At 38.5% G+C, this 22,833-nt stretch overlaps 2 pseudogenes across 1 annotated transcript in view; one reads left to right on the top strand and one right to left on the bottom strand.

Annotated features, from left to right (window-relative positions):
- Positions 1 to 16,152, bottom strand: part of LOC102724642 (anaphase-promoting complex subunit 1-like) — a 71,644-nt pseudogene extending 55,492 nt beyond the window's left edge. The window contains exons 1-8 of the transcript NR_171620.1: positions 16,096 to 16,152; positions 12,553 to 12,821; positions 11,174 to 11,265; positions 9,251 to 9,399; positions 3,723 to 3,801; positions 3,076 to 3,112; positions 2,911 to 2,981; positions 363 to 541 (exon numbers count right to left, since the gene is read on the bottom strand). The product of NR_171620.1 is annotated as an anaphase-promoting complex subunit 1-like (transcript). The remainder of the gene's footprint in view (positions 1 to 362; positions 542 to 2,910; positions 2,982 to 3,075; positions 3,113 to 3,722; positions 3,802 to 9,250; positions 9,400 to 11,173; positions 11,266 to 12,552; positions 12,822 to 16,095) is intronic.
- ANAPC1P3 (ANAPC1 pseudogene 3) lies at positions 20,387 to 22,833 on the top strand (annotated as a pseudogene).

Genomic DNA, 22,833 nt, shown 5'->3' with positions numbered 1-22,833 from the left:
ATTCAGGATATATGTGCTCTCCCTTTTCCTATGTAATAATTACGAAGTGGTTAATTACTAATATGGTACAAGTAGGGAAATAGCCATGGTAGTTTCCATGACTACACTCAGGACTTGTCCTGATTCAAGGCAAAGAAAGATCCAGGCACAAGACAGAACATTCACAAAATCTCCTGCTCCTATGCTCAACTTAACAATTAATAAGACGCATACAATTACAAACCCCGTCTGGCATATAATATAAAAGACAAGCTAATATATATACTTAGAAAAAGCCTTAAAGGAAAATGAAGAACATTTCTACTTTATGATTTTATTTAAGGCTAAAATTGGAACTCTGAACTTTCTATGTTGATACTCACAGACTTCCCTTTGGGTAAGTTTCCTTCGCAGGCCTGCTTGGAAAGATCCTGACGTCCAATCAAGAGACAGACAGCTTCTGGCCAGTCTGAGGCAGGCTGCTCACGACAGTGATAAATTGCATCTCTGATGGGAAGAGCAATTCCAAAGGGAAGAGTTTCCAAATCTCTTAAAGTGAATCCTAATGGTTAAAGGAAGAGAGAAACATTTTAATTTAGACTTGCCACTGTCCCAATTATCCTAGCTGAAGTTGGCAACAATATCTATCCTGACAAATAAATTCATTTTATTCCTCTTACTACCAGACTAATGTCTTAACATCAGGGACTAGTATAGGAAGTCTCTTTGAAAGAACTTGTAAAAACCTGAAGAAAAAAAGACAATCTAATAGAAAAATATAAAAGACAAAAAGACATTTCCTAGAAGGGGAAACATAAATGGGCAATATGCATATGAAAAGATGCTCTACCTAATTAGTGATCAGGAAAATGCAAATTAAAGCCACTGAGAAATGTAAATGTCAAAGCCAATCAATACCAAGTGTTGGCAACTATGTAGAGCGATAATAATTCTTTTTATTCTTTTTTTTTTTTTTTTGAAATGGAGTCTTGCTCTGTCACCCAGGATGGACTGCAGTGGTGTAATCTCGGCTCACTGCAAGCTCCTCCTCCCGGGTTCACGCCATTCTCCTGCCTCAGCTTCCCGAGTAGCTGGGACTACAGGCGCCCACCACCATGCCCGGCTAATTTTTTTTGTAGTTTTTTTTTAGTAGAGACAGGGTTTCACCGTGTTAGCCAGGATGGTCTTGATCTCCTGACCTCGTGATCCACCCGCCTTGGCCTCCCAAAGTGCTGGGATTACAGGCATGAGCCACCGTGCCCGGCCCGAGCAACAATAATTCTTATCCATAGCCAATGGTAGTGTAAACTGGTACAACCACTTTGGAAAACAGTTGGTATGTATAGGTCAGTCCACCCATTTGATCCATCAACAGCCATATAGAAACTTACACCCAGGTACACCAAGACACAGGTATAAAAATATTCATTAGCAATACTGGTTTGCTATGGAAAAAAAAAAAGAGATGGAGAAAGGGGTAAGTCCGATTGTCTATCATTAACAGAATGGGTAATTAAATTGTGATATGTTCAAACAAAGTAATCTCTATATCAGAGAAAATGAATGACCCACTGCTACTGCTACGTGAGTCGACATGGATGAATCTTTAAAAAACAAAGTTGAGTGAAGAAAAAGGAACATATATTTACATCTATATATTTTCAAAACTACATAAAACCTAGCAATTTATAAAGATGTAAAACTATAAAGAAAAACAAGAGTAAGGTAACACAAATGTAGGTAGGGCAGTGGTTCACTATAACATTGGGGTGTGTGACAGGAGGGGACCATCCAAGAACAGATATGTAAGGGCCTTCTACTATGCGGGTAATGTTCTATTTCTAGGGGTGGGTGACCAGTACATCAATACTCACTTTAGTACCATTCTCTAAACTAAACATATACGTTTGACATATTATTTTGTAAGTATACCATATTTCATATTTAAATTTTTTTATCCTCAGGTTAATTAAATCATGTTTTTCTTATCATGATTTTCTAAATTTTATAATACTATGCATTATTTATAATATAAAAAGTCGATTAACTATTGAGGCAAAAAATGTTTCCTTATATGAGAATAACACTTATTAAATATTATGCAATATACAAATGGATAGAACTAATCCAATATTTTTCAGCATAGGTATCCTGTATGTATACTACGCAACAGTTATTGTCATTTTTAAGGTAAAATGCAAAAAAAAAAAAAAAAAAACCTGTCAGAAACTTCATTTAGAACATACTTTAGATAAGACTTCAAAAACATCTTTTAATATTCATTAAAACTTTACTTTTTAACATACATCCCATATAATATCCTCATTTTTAAAATCATGTCTTCGTGGCAGTAATTTTTAATTTTGTTTTTCAGTTCTTTGTGAAAAAAAATTTCTTTGGTATTTTACTTAATTTAAAACCTAGGAGCATAGGTTTGGGGAATAGGGAATATAGAACGCTTTTCCTTCCTCTTCCTCTTCCCAGTTCAATGTTCATCTTGGTGCCTGAAATCCCTTCAAAAGTGCATTTATCCTTCAAAAGTATACCCTGAAATGTTTATATTATTGCTTTTAGACTTTGCCAAAACCACCCATTTCTGATATCTGAGTATCACAATGATTTCAGGTGTATATGTAGGGTGATTAGAGTTCTCCATTCTCAGAGACCAGCTTACATAGCCATAGCCTCAAATGTTCCAATGTAATGGCAAATAAAGATTCCTTATGCACCAAGATAAAAAGCTGGTATCCCACATATTATTATATGAAAGTTGTGAGATTGTCGAGAAAAAAGAATATGGCTTGATGAACCATAATCTCAATCTTGTGAGGCCTTTTCACAAAGCCAGAGCCCCTCTCTCCTCATGCCTTCCACTTCTAGCTAGTCTGGAGGAAGCACGGCCTAGTTAGCAGGTAACAAAGAAGCTCTCACCTACATTAGTCATCCAGCCAACCAATCTTTCAGCTAGACTAGAAACAGACGTAGAATGCCTGAAACTAAACCTATAAGAGAATAAAACATAAAGTAATTAAGCAGAACAGTAAATAATATTGTTTTAAGTGTCTGACATAAAAGCACAGTCTAAATAAAAGTCACCTGTTTTCCACTTGTTCTGCTTGCAACTTCTGGGGGGCTAAAAGGCAACAAAATGAAACTTAATTTTGATAGTCATCCTGGTAAAGAAAACATGTAACATGTAGAAGACATTTGAAAATAAGAATCCATTAGCAAACAACATCTAAAAAAATAATAAAATAAGCAATACTGTGGCAGGCTGAAAAGTACAGTCAAGGCCCTCAGAATACTCAGGGGATTGGTTAGGACACCCGATGTGTACCCAAATCCCTGCATGCTCAAGTCCTGCAATTGGCCCTGCAGAACCTGCATATGGATTTCACATCAGAGAATACTGCATTTTCTATCTGCATTTGGCTGAAAAGAATTTCATTGTAAGTGGACCCACACAACTCAAACTCATGTTGTTCAAGAGTCAATGGTACAATAATTTCCTTCAGGCTAAAATAGTCCTTTTTACCCGCACTGAAAATACAAGATTTATTAGATTTTAAGTAATCCTGATACCTGAAAATTAGTTGTGGACAACAGACCGCAACAGACCAGAACAGTACTAAAAAGGTAAGACATGGCCGCCAAAGCAAACAAGAAAAATTCAATTCTTTTTTCAATTCTGATACTGACATCTACAAAAATTTGTTTCCAGAGGCAACATTGCACCAACTTACCTACAGTTATTCTGGTTAAATACTGTGAGGATTCATCAGAAACCGAGCTCTCATCACCAAGTATGTACAGTGCAATACTCTGCAAAAGAAGAAAATTAACATTATTTTTCTCTTTCCAGAGACAGCATCTCACTTTGTCACCCAGGATGGAGTGCAGTGACACAATCACAGCTCACTGCAGCCTCAAACTCCTTGGCTCAAGCAATCTTCCTGCTTCAGTCTCCAGAGTAGCTAGGACTACAAGCACACACCACCATGCCCAGCTAATTCTTTTATATTATTTTTATTTTTTGTAAAGACAGAGTCTCGCTGTGTTGCCCAGGCTGGGCTCAAACTCATGACCTCGAGCAATCCTTCTGCCTCAGCCTCCCAAACTGCTGGGATTATAGGTATGAGCCACCACACCTAGCTACATAATTGAAGTGTAACTAGAAAATAATTATAACATAGAATAATTCGTCCATTTTAGGTGTACAGCTCTGTGAGTTTCGACAAATGTTATATCACATAACCACTACCACACTCACATATAGTATACTTTCATCATACCAAAAAGTTCCCTCGTTCCTTTTGTAGTCAATCCTTTCCTCCTACACCCAGCACTGGAAACAATTCATCTGTTTTCTTGCTCTACAGTTTTGTCTATCCTACAATATCATGTGAATGAATCATATGATATGTAGTCTTTTTCGTGCTACTTCTTTAACTTAGCATACGTCTTTGAGATTCATTCACGTCTCTCCAAGGATCACTAGTTTCTTCCTTTTCATGCTGAGTAGTATTCCATTATACAGACATACCAAACTTTGTTTACCTACTCAAAAACTGATGAACATTTGGTTCCAGTTTGTGGTCACTATGACCAAAGCTGCTTTATTTTTTATTTGTTTATTTTTTTTGAGACGGAGTCTCGCTATGTCGCCAGGCTGGAGTGCAGTGGCACAATCTTGGCTCACTGCAACCTCCACCTCCTGGGTTCAAGCGATTCTCCCACCTCAGCCTCCAGAGTGGCTGGGATTACAGGCATGCGCCACCACGCCCAGCTAATTTTTGTATTTTTAGTAGAGACAGGGTTTCACCATGTTGGCCAGGTTGGTCTCGATCTCCTGACCTCGTGATCCGCCCTCCTCGGTCTCCCAAAGTGCTGAGATTATGCCACCGCGCCTGGCCCCAAAGACATTCACATACATGCGGGTCTTTATGTAGGCATATGTTTTCATTTCTCTTAAGTAAATACCAAGCAGTTGGAATTTGTCTTATATAAGTGTATGTTTAACTTCACAAGAAACTGCCAAACAGTTTTCCAAAGTGCTGTGCCACTTTTGCAGTCCCACCAGTAATGTATGAGAGTTTCGGTTGCTCCATATCCTCACCAAAAGTTATTTTCAGTCATTCCAACAGGTATCGAATAGTGCTCTCTCACTATCTAAGAAGTATCTAGTAGTACAGAGCTGTAGTGGTATTTGCTTTGAGGAGGAAAAGAAAAAGATAAGACCAAGGAAAAAGTCTCTCAAAAGAGTTAAAATATTCAACATATAACACAAACACAAAAGTACATAAGATCTCTGTATTAAATGAGAAAACATACATGAAGTTCCTTGAAGACAACAGGCTCCCAATAAATGTTATCTCACTTCCTTCCTTTCCCTCATTTCAACAAATGGTACACAGACAATGCCATCTCCGCATATACAAGTGAGTCAATAGAAAAAGAGCCACCATAAGCTAGAAGGTTACTACAAATGTCTCATTAGCTAACATCACATAAAAAAAATTTATCACTTGCGGTCAGGAGTTCAAGACCAACCTGGGCAACATGGCAAAACCCCATCTCTACTAAAAATACAAAAATTAGCCGGGTGTGATGGTGTGCACCTGTGGTCCCAGCTACTCAGGAGGCTGAGGTGGAAGGACTGCTTGAGCCCCGGGAGGTTGAGGCTGCAGTGAGCCATGATTGCACCACTGCACACCAGCCTGGGTGACAGAGTAAGACCTTGTCTCAAATAAAAAAAATAAAAAATAAAAAAAGTCCAATAAAACTTATAATGACGAAACCAAAAACCTATCAATAAGGGCTTCTGTTGATATTTTTCAGAATATTTTTATAAATAAAAATAAATTCATATTTTTATAAATAGATCTCTGAGCTGACAAGTTATAAAGGAATACCAAGAGGATAAAACTAAGATGAAAGGCCAGAGAGGTAAACTGAGCACTCATGCCAGTTTTACTGAAAAGACATTCACAGAAAAACCTATAGAATGGGAGAAAATATTTGCAAATCATGTATCTGACACATTAATATCTAGAGCATAAAAATGCCTAAACTCAAAAATAAAAATCCAATTTTCAAATACACAAAAGATCTGCATAGATATTTCTTCAAAGAAGATACGTAAATGGCCAATAAACACATGAAAATATGCTCAATATCACTAATCATTAAGGAGGCAAATCAAAACAATGAGATATCACTTCATAAATACTAGGATGGCTATAATTTTTAAAAAAACAAATAGAAAATAATAATATGTGTTGGCAAGACTGTGGAGAAATTGGAACCCTTCCTCTTGCATTGCTGATAAGGATGTAAAATGGTATAGCCACTATGAAAATGAGTTTAGCAGTTTCTCAAAAAGTTAAACATCGAATTACCTACCATATGACCCAACAATTCCACCACCAGGTATATATTAAAAAGAACTGAAAGCAGAGACTTGAACAGATATTTGCATACCCATGGTTCACAGCAGCACTATTCCACAGTCAAAAGGTGGAAACAACCCAAATGTCCATCATCAGGTGAAATGATAAATTGTGGTATATCCATACAATGGAATACTATATAGAATACTGCCTTTAAAACAATGTAATTTTGATACATGCTACAATATGGGTGAACATTGGAAACATTATGCTAAGTGAAATAAGCCAGACACAGAGATAAATATTGCTTGATTCCCATAATATGAGGTACTTACAAGAGACAAATTCATAAGAAAGAGAACGGAATTACCAGGGCCTGGAAGGAAGGGGAATGGGGAGTCACTCTAATAGGTACAGAGTTTATGTTGGGGATGATGAAGAAGTCTTGGGTACGGACAGTGGTGATGGCAACATAACAATGTGAACGTATTCAATGCCACTGGATTGTACACTCAAAAATAACTTCAGGCCGGGCGCAGTGGCTCACGCCTGTAACCCCTGCACTTTGGGAGGCCAAGGTGGGCAGATCACTTGATGTCAGGAGTTCAAGACCAGCCTGGCCAACATGGTGAACCCCATCTCTACTAAAAATACAAAAATTAGCCAGACTTGGTGACTCATGCCTGTAATCCCAGCTACTCGGGAGGCTGAGGCAGGAGAATCGCTTGAACCTAGGTGGCGGAGGTTGCAGTGAGCCGAGATCGTGCCACTGCACTCCAGCCTGGGCAACAGAGTGACTCCATCTCAAGAAATAATAATAATAACAATTTCAATGACAAATATTATGTTATATATATTTTGCTATCATTAAAAAAATCTGTGTTTTTTAAACAGAATCTTCATTCTGTATGTCTGTTTTGGAGCCATGGGGGGACTCTGAAGCACTTCTCACCATGAAGCGGAGCAAAACGTAAAGTAAAGAAAAAGAAGGGCAGGAGGAAAAGACATTTGCAGTCTGCCAACATTTGAGAGAAGGGACAAAAGCATATGGTTCTCCTGCAAGCCTGGGAAGACCCCACCTGAAAAGGCCCACAAGGGGCCTATGAGCAGGCTGCTCCAGGATGGGGGGACTGAGGAACAGGTATGCCAAGAAACTTACCTCATTCACCGTTACAGCCCTATGGTTCTATATGAAGGTTTGATCTTGGACATGTATTAACCAGTAATAACAAACTAATTTCTAAAAATAAATAAATCATGAGATTTGCAGCTAGAGGTAAATAAAAAATAATAAAAATAAATAAAGAAGTGTTTCTTTGAAAAAAATTTCAGCAAGATTTTTCTTTGTAGCTATAGACAAGCGGATTATAAAATCAGTAGGGGACGGGCGCGGTGGCTCACACCGGTAATCCCAGCACTTTGGGAGGCTGAGCCAGGCGGATCACTTGAGGTTGAAAGTTCAAGACCAGCCTGGCCAATATGGTGAAATCCCGTCTCTACTAAAAATACAAAAAATTAGCCGGGCGTGGTGGTGGGATCCTGTAATCCCAGCTATTTGGGAGGCTGAGGCAGGAGAATCGCCTGAACCCAGAAGGTGGAGGTTGCAGTGAGCTGAGATCACTCCACTGCACTCTAGCCTAGGCAACAGAGTGAGACTCTGTCTCAAAAATAAAAATAAAAATAAAATCAATATGAAAAGGCAAGAAGAGTAATGAAGGGAGGAGTAACGCTAATCAATTTTAAAGACTTACTATAAAGCTACAGTAATGACAGCGTAGACAGCCACAAAGATCAATGAAACAGAATAGAAAGTCCAGAAACAGACACACAAGAATGTGGCCAAATTAACTTTTGACAAAAGTGCAAATGCAATAGAGGAAGGATAGTCTTTTCAAAAAACAGTGCTGAAAGAACTGGATATCCAAATGAAATAATAAAAACCTTGACTTAAAACCTGACATGTTATAAAAGATTAACAAAATGGATTAGAGATCTAAATGTAAAACATGCAAAGAAACCCAGGAGAAAATCTTCAAAACCTGAAGTTAAACAAAGAATTATTAGACATGACACTGAAAGCAATATCCATTAAAGAAAAATACAGATAAACTAGCTTCATCAAAATTAAACACTTTTGTTCTTTGATGTATTTAGAGAATGACGAGACAAGACAAGGTAGAAACCACAAGAAAATATCTGCAAACCACATATCTGACAAAACCTCATACCTAGAACGCTGAAAACATCATTAGCCATTAGGAAAATGCAAATTAAAACCACAATGAGGTATAACTACACATCTCTCAGAAAGACAAAAATAAAAAAGAGTGACAATACCAAATACCAACAAGAATGCAGGTAAATGATCTCTTAAATATTGCTGGTAAAAATGTAAAATGGAAGAGCCACTCTGGAAAACAGATGACAGTTTCTTTAAAAACAAAATATAAACTTAACTGTATGACCCATCAATCCTACTCCTAGGTACCTGTCCTAGAGAAAGCAAAACTTATGTTCACATAAAACGCTAAGCATGAATGCTGACAGCATCTATATTTACAATTGCTAACAACTGAAATCAACCCAATTATCTTGAATGAAAAACCAACTATGGCACATTCATGCAATAAACTACTAATTAGCCATAGAATGCAATGAACTGTCGATACAGGAAACAACTTGGATGAGTCTCAAAATCATGAGAGAAATTTTTGAGGGTGATGTAAATGTTCTATATCCTCATTGTAGTAATTACATGAATCTATACATGTACTGAAATTCACAGAACTATACACAGAAAGAAAAACTTAATATTAGGTGTACTTTTTAAAACTAAATTTTAAAAGAAAAAGGAGATAGGTAGTAACACTCCACATACATACCAAGACTACAAGTCTGCTTCTTTCACAGATTCCAGGGAGGTAAGGATAAGGCGGCATTCCTTCGCCCTTCAGACAAGAACTCACCCACTGATAAATACTTGGTGGCTCAGACGTAAAAAATGATGGATGATGCATAAATCCTGTTTGACCTTTAAAATTAGATAAATATTCAAAAAGACACGAAAATACATTAAGACAACATTATTTTATTTTAAACGGAAGATGATCAACAGTTACTTGTCATTTTGAAACAACTAGAATAATATTTTTCCAGCTGGGTGCAGTGGCTCACGCCTGTAACCCCAGTACTTTGGGAGGCCCAAGCAGGTGGATCACGAGGTCAGGAGTTAAAGAACAGCCTGGCCAATATGGTGAAACCCCGTCTCTACTAAAAATACGAAAAAAATTAGCTGGGCCTGGTGGTGCGCACCCGTAGTCCCACCTACTTGGGAGACTGAGGCAGAAGAATCACTTGAACCCGGGAGGTGGAGGTTGCAGTGAGCCCAGATCATGCCTAAGAGACAGAGCGAGACTCTGTCTCAAAAAAAAAAAAAAAAAAAAAAAAGGAATAACGTTTTTCCATATTCTCCAAAATGCTTCATGTTTTCTGCCACAGCACATAAGGAACTATGTTATTAAATGTAGAATTTAAATGACTTCTATTTTATCCCACCCTGGATGGAAATTTAGCAAATTCTTGTTCCCAAGGCATATAAAGAATCTAACCAAAGGCTGGATGTGGTGGCTAACACCTGTAATCCCAGCCCCTTGGGAGGCTGAGTCAGGTGGATCACTTGAGGTCAGGAGTTCAAGGCCAGCCTGGCCAACATGGTGAAACCCCATCACTACTAAAAATACAAAAATTAGCCAGGCGTGGTGGCACACACCTATAACCCCAGGCAATCCCAGGCACTTGGGAGGCTGAGGCAGGAGAATCGCTTGAGCCTGGAAGGCAGAGGATGCAGTGAGCCAAGATCGTACCACTGCACTCCCGTCTGGGTGACAGAGTGAGACCCTGTCTCAAAAAAAAAAAAAAAAAAAAAAAAAGAAGAAGAAGAATCTAACCAAAAATTTTGCCCTAACCCTAAAGGTGAAAAAAACAAAAGAAACATCCAGGATTCAGCTCTGTTCCAACAACTGGGCCCCAAATTTCAGTACCTTTAGCTCAGGGTCTAGGACAGTACAGTAGTGATGGAAATGTTCTGTGTCTGTATCTGCACTGTCCAATATGGTAGCACTAGCCCCATGTGGCTACTGAGTTCTCAAAATGCGGCTAGTACACTGAGGAAATATATGTTTTATTTTAATTGAATTTAAGTAGCATATGGTTAGTGGTACTAACTGTACTCTACAAGTCTAAGTTGGTGGCCTGGCGCAGTGGCTCACGCCGTAATCCCAGCACTTTGGGAGGCCGAGGTGGGTGGATCATGAGGTCAGGAGATCAAGACCATCCTATGTAACACGATTAAACCTCGTCTCTAATAAAAATACAGAAAAATTAGCCAGGCGTGGTGGCGGGCACCTGTAGTCCCAGCTACTCAGGAGGCTGAGGCAGGAGAATGGCGTGAACCCAGGAGGCAGAGTTTGCAGTGAGCCGAGATCGCGCCACTGCACCCCAGCCTGGGTGACAGAGCAAGACTCCGTCTCAAAAAAAAAAAGCATCCTTGACACTGGAAGCTCTTTCTCTGACTTTTGCAAGTCAGAACCTTAGGGATGGGTAAAATTTTCCCTATACACTGAAGATATTATGGCTTACTACGTGTCAGAAAACAAGCACTACGAACTAAAATCTGCCTGGTGGAAAGGCATTGCCCCTGACTTAGAAGCTAATGGTAAGAAATACATCCTCTGCTATTCATTGAGAAAGATACAAGGAAATATCACTACACTGTTTAGAAAATATTTAAAAGCACGACTACTTACCTGGATCAATTGTGCACACTTGTCCAGTAGTTCTGACAAGCGTTGGGTAGTCTCTATAGTAATGATCTACATAAGGCCCCAATTTTAAGTCCCTAAAACAGTAAGGGCATGCAAAAAAGAAGGTATTACAGCACTTTCTCCCAACAGAATTGGAAGGATTAATTAGTTGAATCTTTAAATTTAAAAACTTACTTATGAGAAAGATAACCAAATCTAGAGTCTCTCTATTGTATTTTTGGACTTTAAAGTGCCCAGTGTGACAAATGGAACCCAACCTCTTTTTGCTAAATTTTGTGGAAGTAAAACTACAGTAAAAGCACCATGATCTAGTTCCTCCTCTGCTATTCATTAGCTGTGTGATCTTCCATAAGTCATGTCTATAAACCTCAGTATTTTCTTCTAGGAAATGGGGCAATATCAGCTCACTTACTCTGAAGTTTTAAAGAGTAAATAAGATAAAATATGTAAAAAAAAAAAAAACCTGATAAAATGTAAAACATCATACACATTACTTATTTCAGACAGCCATGATTATGGTTTGGAAATTATTTAATTACAAAATAATTTTGATGATAGTAATGACATCCTAAGAGATATTTACCATTGATTAAAACTGCCATGTCTCAGGATTGAATTTCAAGATCTCAAAAAAGACAACAGAAATTAGAAAATGTACTATGTCTTAACTCAGAGGCTGACATTTCAATTCAAATTCAACTTCTTTATCACCAAAGGTCATAAAGGTCAAACAACACACAAGTATGACCCTAGAATTCTGAGCCATACACAAGGTGCTTCAAAGCTCTTGAAAGGTGTTGAAACGTATTATTAGAACTATCTTATTGTGGATCTACTATGAGTGCCTCAAAGACAGGGACAACCTCAGACTGCAACAAGGATAGCATAGCAAAATGAGTCCACAACTATCAAACACTCATATCCCAGGAAACAAATTTAGGCAAGTTTCCTCATCACTAAAATAGGAAACTTACCTTGTTTGAGACTTTATATGTAAACTATGATTTTGTCAACTATAAAGCACTATTTGAATGTGGATATTACAAAACAGCAGATGTTATTCTAGAACTCCCACCACAGTATAGTCAGTCAGTCATCCTGTCAAAATGAAAATCTGAGCAGGTCATCTCCATTTTTTCGTGACCTTCCACTAATCTCAGGACAAAGACTAAAAATCCCTGCATGGCTCACAGGCCCTTACAAAACCAGTATCTTCAAACAACTCTGTGGTTTACAGAGATGTCCTAGTTTTCTGAGAAGGCAGATTTCAGAAACGTATTTACAAGGTCCCTATATGATATCATGGAAAAGACAGTCATCTCAGGACTTCCTGGCAGTTTCTAACCTACAAACAAATTTACCTTGCCAACTGAACGAGAAGTTCAACGAGTGAACAAATTCCTTCTCCCATTAGAGTATTCAACTTAAGCTCCTCATACACAAGGTGAAGAACAAAAAAAATTGCAGGTATGTGAGTAAAGAGAAGTGTAGAAGAATCCAGACTGAGATTCTGTGAAAAATCCTCATCCTTCATCTGTGAAGCTTCTGAAGGACTCAGACATAAAGATCTGTTCAAAAGATGAGACTCAACACTCTGGTGGTAGTCTGAATTTAGTAAATATTCCCAGTCCTGAGAAGAATAAAAAGAATATTAATTTTTAAAAATAATACCTCCTTATAATATCATAAGAAAATTAATTCACTTAAAACAATTCAAGTTTCATTTTCACATTAAGTTGATCTAAGAGTATGTTAAAAAAAAGACAATGCTAAGAATGAAGTAACTATAAAATAGCAAGCCAGTTATAAACGTTAAGGCAAGCCACCTTTAAAAACCATTAAAAAAAATCTTTTCATGCCCTTTTAGGAAAGACATTGGGAGAAGAATTATACTATTTAGGTAGAGATTGAGAGAGAAAATTTAAGATTATCTCAGGCTAGGTTTTATAGGAAAAGTAGATGGCAAGTTAGTGGCCACTACACTGAACTGTGTTTTGGTAAGAAGGAAGGTCCACCTGCATTCATCTGGTGTATTCATCTTTCCACATGTATAAGATGCCAGGGCTACTAATATAATCTAATAATCAACTGATTTTTATATTCAGACTGATTGGACTACATTTTCCAAATGTTCAGTCTATTTTGGTTCTACTTGTGATTTACTGCATTTGGTTCAGAGAATGTGGTTTATGCTATTTCCAGATCTTGGAATTTACTGGTGTTTTTATAAGGCTTAATACAGTGTGTTATTCTAAATTAAAAATTATTGGACTAGATACAGAAAGAACTAACCATAAAAGAAAAAACTGGGCCGGGTGCACTGGCTCATGCCTGTAATCCCAGCACTTTGGGATGCCGAGGCGGGTGGATCACGAGGTCAGGAGATCGAGACCATCCTGGCTAACACGGTGGAACCCCATCTCTTCTAAAAAAAATACAAAAAAATTAGCTGGGTGTGGTGGCGGGCACCTGTTAGTCCCAGCTATTGGGGAGGCTTAGGCAGGAGAATGGCATGAACCTGGGAGGCGGAGCTTGCAGTGAGCTGAGATCATGCCACTGCACTCCAGCCTGGGCAACAGAGCGAGACTCCATCTCAAAAATAAAATAAAATAAAATAAAAAACTGATATATTGGATAACTAAAATAAAAAATTCTGCTCATCAAAGACACTGTTAAAGCCACATTCTAAGGGAAAATATGGTCAAGAATTCATGTCTAGAACATGTAAGAACTTCACCAGCTTACATATTTTTTAAAATCTAATTTACAAGTTGATAAAGATTTGAACAGAAACTTCACAAAAAGATACATAAGCAGCTAATGAGCACATGAAAGAGTGTTTAACATCCTCCAAACTCAGCCTCCAAGTAGCTAGGACTACAGGTTATGTGCCATCATGCCTGGCTAATTTTCAAATTTTTTTGGTAGACAACTGGTCTTACTTAAAAATTAGCCAGGCATGATGGAGCATACCGGTAGTCCTAGCCACTTGGAGGCTGAGGTAGGAGGATGGCTTGAGCCTAGGAGTTCGAGATTACAGTCAACCACGATAGCATCACTGCAGTCCAGCGTAGGCAAAAGAGTGACACCCTGTCTCTTAAAAAAAAAAAAAAAAAAAGAAATGAAAATGTATGTCCACGGGCCAGGCATGGTGGCTCACACCTGTAATCTCAGCACTTTGGGAGGCCAACATGGGTGGATTATTGAGGCCAGGAGTTTGAGACCAGGCTGGCCAACATGGCAAAATCCAGTCTCTACTGAAAATACAAAAATTAGCCAGGCATGGTGGCGCATACCTGTAATTCTAGCTACTGGGGAGGCTGAGGCATGAGAACTGCCTGAACTCAGGAGTCAGAGGTTGCAGTGAGCCGAGATCGTGCCACTGCATTCCAGCCTGGATGACACAGCAAGACTCTGTCCTCCCCCCCCCCAAAAAAAGAAAATATATATCCACAAAGACTTGCCAGTGAATTTTGGCAGTAGCTTGCTTTATTCATAAGACTTAAAAAAAAAATGGAAATAGCCTAGATATCTACCAGCAGAAGAAGGATGGATAAACAAACTATGGTATATTCATACTACTCAGCAATAAAAAAGCACAAACTACGGGTATCTGTAACAACATGAATGAATCTCAAAAGCATTATGCTGAATAAATCTTATACCAAAGATTACATACTATATTATTTTATTTACATCAAGTTCTAGAACAGGCATAACTAAGATATGGTGACAGAATTCAGATCAGTGATTGCTAGAAGAAGAGAATAAAGCTGATTAAAAACAGCAAGAGGGGCCAGGCCCAGTGGCTCATGCCTGTAATCCCAGAACTTTGGGAGGCCGAGGTGGGCAGATCACGAGGTCAGGAGTTCAAGACCAGCCTGACCAACATGGTGAAACCCTATCTCTACTAAAAATACAAAAATTGGCCAGGCGTGGTGGCGCATGCCTATAATCCCAGCTATTCAGGAGGTTGAGGCAGGAGAATAGCTTCAACCCAGGAGGTGAAGAGCCGACATCGTGCCACTGCACTCCAGCCTGGGCAATAAGGCAAGACTCCGTCTCAAAAAAAAAAAAAAAAACCGCACGGGGAAATTTTACGGAGTTATAAAAATATTCTGTGTCTTTATAGGAGTGTAGGTTACATGAGTGTGCATATATTAAAACTGATCAAACTGTAAACTCAAGATGTATTTCATTTTTGTAAATTACACCACAATTTAAAAAAACATATTTGGACCACTTAAGAATAATACCATGGAGGCCAGGTGCAGTGGCTCATGCCTGTAATCCCAGCACTTTGGGACGCCAAGGTCAGGAAGGTCACTTGAGGTCAGGAGTTCGAGACCAGCCTGGCCAACATGGTGAAACCCTGTCTCTACCAAAACTACAAAAATTAGCCAGGCATGGTGGCGGGCGCCTGTAATCCCAGCTATTCAGGAGGCTGAGACAGAACTGCTTGAACCTGGGAGGCGGAGATTGCAGTGAGCTCAGATCGTGCCACTGCACTCCATCCCGGGCAACAAGAGCGATACTCCGTCTCAAAAAAAAAAAAAAAAAAAAGGAATATACCATGGAACCTGATACGATTGAGAACCTTAATTTAAAAAACACTGCATAAAAAAGGTAAATGCTGTCATTTCAGGTGATCAGTTGATAATAAAATGTCTACAAACCCAAACTGAAATCATGCAGTAATACATACATTAATTTTTGGATAATCATTAAAGACCATAGAAAATGTAACAGATCCTACTCTTCAAAATAATTGCTATTCAGTATTAAAATAAATAAAGTGAAAGGTGTTGGAAAGATAGAGGAATTGATAGGAATACCACAGAAGTGGAAGAATAGTATGAATATCCATAAATTAATTTATATTAGCAAGAAATAATAATGCTTACATCATCAGATCCAGTCTCAGAAGGCCTTGCTTTTTTGGGCGCAATGACAGGGGAAAGTGATCCTTCAAAGTCAAACTGAAAGGTAACCCCAAAAGAAAAGATAAAAATCATAAATGCATTCCTGTCAACTGATCAACTTAAAGGATTCGGAAATCAGTTCTGCCAATTATGAAAACTGAGAAAAGCCATCAAAACTCATTTTTTGATCTGGAAAGTCATTATTTAAATATCTTTCTTCTAGGTTACTGTAAAGATGAAATGAAATCATATTAATATATGCAAACATCTAGAACAGTGCCTGGGCTCCTAAGTACTGATTTTAATGGTAGTTTCCTTCCCTCTCCTACTTCTGTAATGACATAGATTACAACACATCTTTGGTAGAAAAAGAAACTTTAGGCATATCCACAATATACCAAGTCTCAAAGGATCAACCCAATATCAGTCAAATGTTAGAACTAAGCAAACATTTATTTACAGTCCACCTACAGTAAACTATCTAACAATTCTATGGCAGAGACAAGTAGCTACTCTGGAAAATCTTTTTTTTTTTTTTTCCTTTACATTCTTTTAATTAAGTCATCATACACACCTTTCATTTTCTTGAAATTTATTTTTATGCCATTCATTAAATTTTTGTTTTCTTCATTCAAATTGTTACCTGTTTTATAGACAAAATTTTTTTTTTTTGAAATTTTTTTTTTTTAATTATACTTTAAGTTTTAGGGTACATGTGCACATTGTGCAGGTTAGTTACATATGCATACATGTGCCATGCTGGTGCGCTGCACCCACTAACTCGTCATCTAGCATTAGGTATATCTCCCAATGCTATCCCTCCCCCCTCCCCCCTCCCCACCACAGTCCCCAGAGTGTGATATTCCCCTTCCTGTGTCCATGCGATCTCATTGTTCAATTCCCACCTATGAGTGAGAATATGCGGTGTTTGGTTTTTTGTCCTTGCGATAGTTTACTGAGAATGATGGTTTCCAATTTCATCCATGTCCCTACAAAGGACATGAACTCATCATTTTTTATGGCTGCATAGTATTCCATGGTGTATATGTGCCACATTTTCTTAATCCAGTCTATCATTGTTGGACTTTTGGGTTGGTTCCAAGTCTTTGCTATTGTGAATAATGCCGCAATAAACATACGTGTGCATGTGTCTTTATAGCAGCATGATTTATAGTCCTTTGGGTATATACCCAGTAATGGGATGGCTGGGTCAAATGGTATTTCTAGTTCTAGATCCCTGAGGAATCGCCACACTGACTTCCACAATGGTTGAACTAGTTTACAGTCCCACCAACAGTGTAAAAGTGTTCCTATTTCTCCACATCCTCTCCAGCACCTGTTGTTTCCTGACTTTTTAATGATTGCCATTCTAACTGGTGTGAGATGATATCTCATAGTGGTTTTGATTTGCATTTCTCTGATGGCCAGTGATGATGAGCATTTTTTCATGTGTTTTTTGGCTGCATAAATGTCTTCTTTTGAGAAGTGTCTGTTCATGTCCTTTGCCCACTTTTTGATGGGGTTGTTTGTTTTTTTCTTGTAAATTTGTTTGAGTTCATTGTTGATTCTGGATATTAGCCCTTTGTCAGATGAGTAGGTTGCGAAAATTTTCTCCCATGTTGTAGGTTGCCTGTTCACTCTGATGGTAGTTTCTTTTGCTGTGCAGAAGCTCTTTAGTTTAATTAGATCCCATTTGTCAATTTTGGCTTTTGTTGCCATTGCTTTTGGTGTTTTGGACATGAAGTCCTTGCCCACGCCTGTCCTGAATGGTAATGCCTAGGTTTTCTTCTAGGGTTTTTATGGTTTTAGGTCTAACGTTTAAATCTTTAATCCATCTTGAATTGATTTTTGTATAAGGTGTAAGGAAGGGATCCAGTTTCAGCTTTCTACATATGGCTAGCCAGTTTTCCCAGCACCATTTATTAAATAGGGAATCCTTTCCCCATTGCTTGTTTTTCTCAGGTTTGTCAAAGATCAGATAGTTGTAGGTATAGCATTGGCCCAGGCAGCTCTGCTTTAGGCTGTAGATGTGTAGCCGGCTGTTCTGCTGCCGTTCTGCCTCACCTGCCTCATTCTGGGACCCAGGCTGGAGGGTGTGTTTCTCTCGTGGTGTTGATAGAAACCTAGGAGAGAACCAGTGAAGATTGGGACCCATAATTTAGTCTACTATAATGATAAATGAAATTATTCCCAAAGTTGAAATGTTTTGGCTATCACAATACATGGTAGCATAAGTCAGAGATCTGAAAAACGCTTATTCTGAAAATATTCAACACTGGTTGTTAAAGCATGTTCATCTGCAAAGTAGTCTACCCTTCTTTGGCTATATCATGATGATGTCTAATGGTGTCATTGCACAGTCTCACAGCTGCGGCATACCTCTTTCACACTGTATATAGAAGATTTCATCTTTAATTCATATGTATATGCCTTTTTATATAATTACTGTCAGAATGTACATTAAAAAAATTTTTTTTTTTTGAGAGAGTCTTGCTCTGCTGCCCAGCCTGGAGTACAGTGGTGCAATCTTGGCTCATTGCAAGCTCCGCCTCCCGGGTTCACGTCATTCTCCTGCCTCAGCCTTCCGAGTAGCTGGGACTACAGGCGCCCGCCACTACGCCTGGCTAATTATTGTGTATTTTTAGTAGAGACAGGGTTTCATGGTGTTAGCCAGGATAGTCTGGATCTCCTGACCTTGTGATCTGCCTGTCTCAGCCTCCCAAAGTGCTGGGATTGCAGGCATGAACCACTGTGCCCCGCCTAAAAATTGTTTTTATAGATCATTGTTATAAATGGGTTTTAAAACAAATTTTGTGTAATATTCATTGAGTCGATGGTCTGTAAAATGCCTTTTTTTAACTTTTAGAACTTTTTAGATTGTTTCTAATAATCCTTTGTTGTTATATATAAACATTACACTGATTACCTTTGTGTGATTTTTTTCTTTAATTTTTATTATTTATTTATTTATTTAGAGACAGAGTCTCGCTCTGTCACCCAGGCTGGAGTGGAGTGGGGCGATCTCGGTTCACTGCAGCCTCTGCCTCCCAGGTTCAAGCAATTCTCCTGCCTCAGCCTACCAAGTAGCTGGGATTACGGGTGTCTGTCAGCATGCCTGGCTAATTTTTGTAGTTTTAGTAGAGATGGGATTTCTCCATGTCGGACAGGCTGGTCTCGAACTCGTTGACCTCAAGTGATCCTCCTGCCTTGGCCTCCCAAAGTGCTGGGATTACAGGCAAGGGCCAGCACGTCCAGCCTTTTTTCTTTTTTTTTAAATTGCATTTTTTTCCTATAGGGATAAAATTTCAGGAATGTGAACATTTTTTCAGAGGGAAGGGTTTTAATACATAGTACATTTTATCGTTTTCAACAAGGTAGTGTTAGAGTTATAGGGTGCTTTTAAAAGTGTGAATTTTGTATCCAGTCAGACTTCTAGGATCAGTACACAGAAATTCTACCATAGTAGGGCTCATTATTATATACACTCGAAATAAATGTCTAAACATAATATTTAACAGCTTAACAACATAAGTAAGTGACCTCCTTATTCATTATCATCATTCGAACATGTTTCACCACATGTGATGTGTGGATTTGAAAGTAATGAAAACAAAATGTAAGATATTTCGTTGTTGTTGTTGCTGAGATGGTGTCTCACTCTGTCACCCAGGCTGGAGTGCAGCGACCTGATTTTGGCTCACTGCAACCTCTGCCTCCCAGGTTCAAGCGATTTTCCTGCCTCAGCCTCCCCAGTAGCTGATATTACAGGCACCTGGCACCCTGGCTAGTTTTTGTATTTTTAGTAGAGACAGGGTTTCACCATGTTGGCCATCTGGTCTCCAACTCCTGACGTCAAGTGATCCACCTGCCTCGGCCTCCCAAAATGCTGGGATTACAGGCATGAGCCAGCACACCCGGCCCAGATGTTTTAACAAAAAAATAAAACTTTTTTTTTGAATACTCTTACCTTTTTCCCTTTAAAATTTTTTTCTACTACTTGGTAATTTTTTTGGTAAGACTCAAAGTTTCACAGTATTTGAATATCATTGCTTATAAAGACTTAAATTGGCAATTTAAAAAGAACTATTTTGGGCCCTTTTTTTTTGGTAGGTAAACCTACAGTTGTGGACACCATTTATTATAGTGTCATAACTTTCTGAATAGTTATATCCCATTCGTATCTCCAGTGCAACTTGCTAGAAAGTTAACTCTAAGATTTTTATGAGATGAGATTTTGAGAAGCTAGTTTGAACTGTGTTGCTTTTGTTTTTACAGGACGGCCTCCTGGTCCTGAAATGGAATACTGCACTGACAGAGAGTCATACTCCTTAGCTGCTGGCTTGGCCCTGGGCATGGTCTGCTTGGGGGTAAGCATAGCCTATGCCTTCCCATGCTTCAGTTAGGACATCTACATGTTGAGACAAATAACGTTGACACCTAAACCTGAATATTGTCCCTTACTATGACTTAATCTGCTGCCCAGCTCTATTGTCTTTTTGGATATTTTTCAAAGTACCAGATTTGCAAATTGAGAGAAACTGTGGTCAAGAGTGGGACTTTAAGATTTCTTTTCCTCCAGCTTGCAGTGTTCATGAACAAACTGAAGGGAATAAAGTTTTTTTTTTTTAAAGCGTTCAAGACATAGAATGAATAAGTGACAGCCCACTATGACTGAAAACAGAGAATAGTGAAAACGTATATGATCGGGAGCCTTAAGAGTCTATAGTAGCTGCTTGAAACAAACCCTAACCCCCTTTTGCCATAGTGATGTTCACTGTGTATCCCAGAATGTTGTCCCAGTAGCATCTTCCTTGTGACAAAATGCAGTATCAGATTGACCCATCTTTAACTCCATCCAAGAGATGTGTACAGAATTACCAGAAATGTTTCATTAAATGATTGTTTCACTTGAAATGTGGTTCCCCTTGAAAAACCACCAATACATTCTTATGGTCAAACTAAATGATATAAAGAAAGTTATAAGGCCGAGGTGATCGGATCACCTGAGATTGGGGGTTCAAGACCAACCTGACCAACATGGAGAAACCCCATCTCTACTAAAAATACAAAATTAGCCAGGTGTGGTGGCGCATGCCTGTAATCCCAGCTACTCGGGAGGCTGAGGCAGGACAATCGCTTGAACCCAGGAGGCGGAGGTTGTGGTGAATCGAGATCACACCATTGCACTCCAGCCTGGGCAACAAGAGTGAGACTCCATCTTAAAAAAAAAAAAAGTTATAGTGGAAGGAATTTTTTTCATGTGTGTTCTGAAAATCCACCTTGTGGTTGACCATCTGTTAGGGCCTTGAATTCACATTGGCACGTGAGCTAAAGAGGCTGGTGGTATAATGGAAAATAATCAGCTGGGTGTGGTGGCTCATGCCTGTAATCCCAGCACTTTGGGAGGCTGAGATGGGCGGATCACGAGGTCAGGAGATCCAGACCATCCTGGCTAACACGGTGAAACCCCGTCTCTACTAAAAATACAAAAAAATTAGCTGGGCATGGTGGTGGGTGCTTGTAGTCCCAGCTACTCAGGATGCTGAGGCAGGAGAATGGTGTGAACCCAGGAGGCGGAGCTTGCAGAGAGTCGAGATCGTGCCACTGCACTCCAGCCTGGGCAAGAAGGCGAGACTCCGTCTCAAAAAAAAAAAAAAAAAAGAAAAGAATCACACAGGGAATTGCAACTTGAATTCTGGTCCTAACTAGTGAGTCAAGTCATTTAACTACATTATTGTGTATTGCTTAATCAGCTTCATGGATTGTTGAGCCAGATGGCCGTGTTTTATATATAGCCCTGCAACTTAACTATAATAGCTGTATAACCTTGGGCTTAATCCCTCTGTGCCACACTTTCCTTATTTATAAAATAGGGTTTTAATAGTAGCTATTTGATATGGCTGTTCATTCATGTTAAACACACAGAATAGTGCCTGACACAGAGCATGCATTTAATAAATTACTATTATTATCATAGTTATTGTTGGAAAAGTTCTTAAGTACAATAATGACAGTATTCAGGTATTTACAGTTCCAGTTTCAATTATATAACTAATATTTTTCTTTATTGTTAAATGTCACTAACTCTAAAGCTCTTATGTATTTTAAGACAGTACTTAAAGTTGAACATTCATGTATTAAAACTTTTATGAGAATTATTAATATTTATTAACTCATGATTAATGTTTGCTTTAAATTGGAAATAAAAAAAACAAAACCCAAAATAACCTGCTTTGAAGTTAGTTCATTTTTATATTTGTTATGGGTATGTGTTGTGGATCTTCCTTCATAAAATTTCTTTTCACTCGTCTGTTATTGTCTTTTCCAGCATGGCAGCAATTTGATAGGTATGTCTGATCTCAATGTGCCTGAGCAGCTCTATCAGTACATGGTTGGAGGACGTAGGCGCTTTCAAACAGGAATGCATAGGGAGAAACATAAATCACCAAGTTATCAAATCAAAGTAAGTACACAGCAAAGTAATAGATCAAAAGTCTGGAAGCTGGGAAGTTAATTGGAAAATACTAGTGTTCATACTGACATTGGTAAATGTGTTAATTTTAAGCATAGTTATTATTCAGAGGAATTTTATAATAATTTAGAACTCTTTTACATGCATAAACTCTTCTTTCAATAGGAAGGAGATACCATAAATGTGGATGTGACTTGTCCAGGTGCTACTCTAGCTTTGGCTATGATCTACTTAAAAACCAATAACAG

The sequence above is a fragment of the Homo sapiens genome, chromosome 2, assembly GCF_000001405.40.
Source record: "Homo sapiens chromosome 2, GRCh38.p14 Primary Assembly".
In the NCBI taxonomy this organism is placed as follows: domain Eukaryota; kingdom Metazoa; phylum Chordata; class Mammalia; order Primates; family Hominidae; genus Homo; species Homo sapiens.
This window is presented reverse-complemented; position numbering and strand designations above follow the sequence as displayed.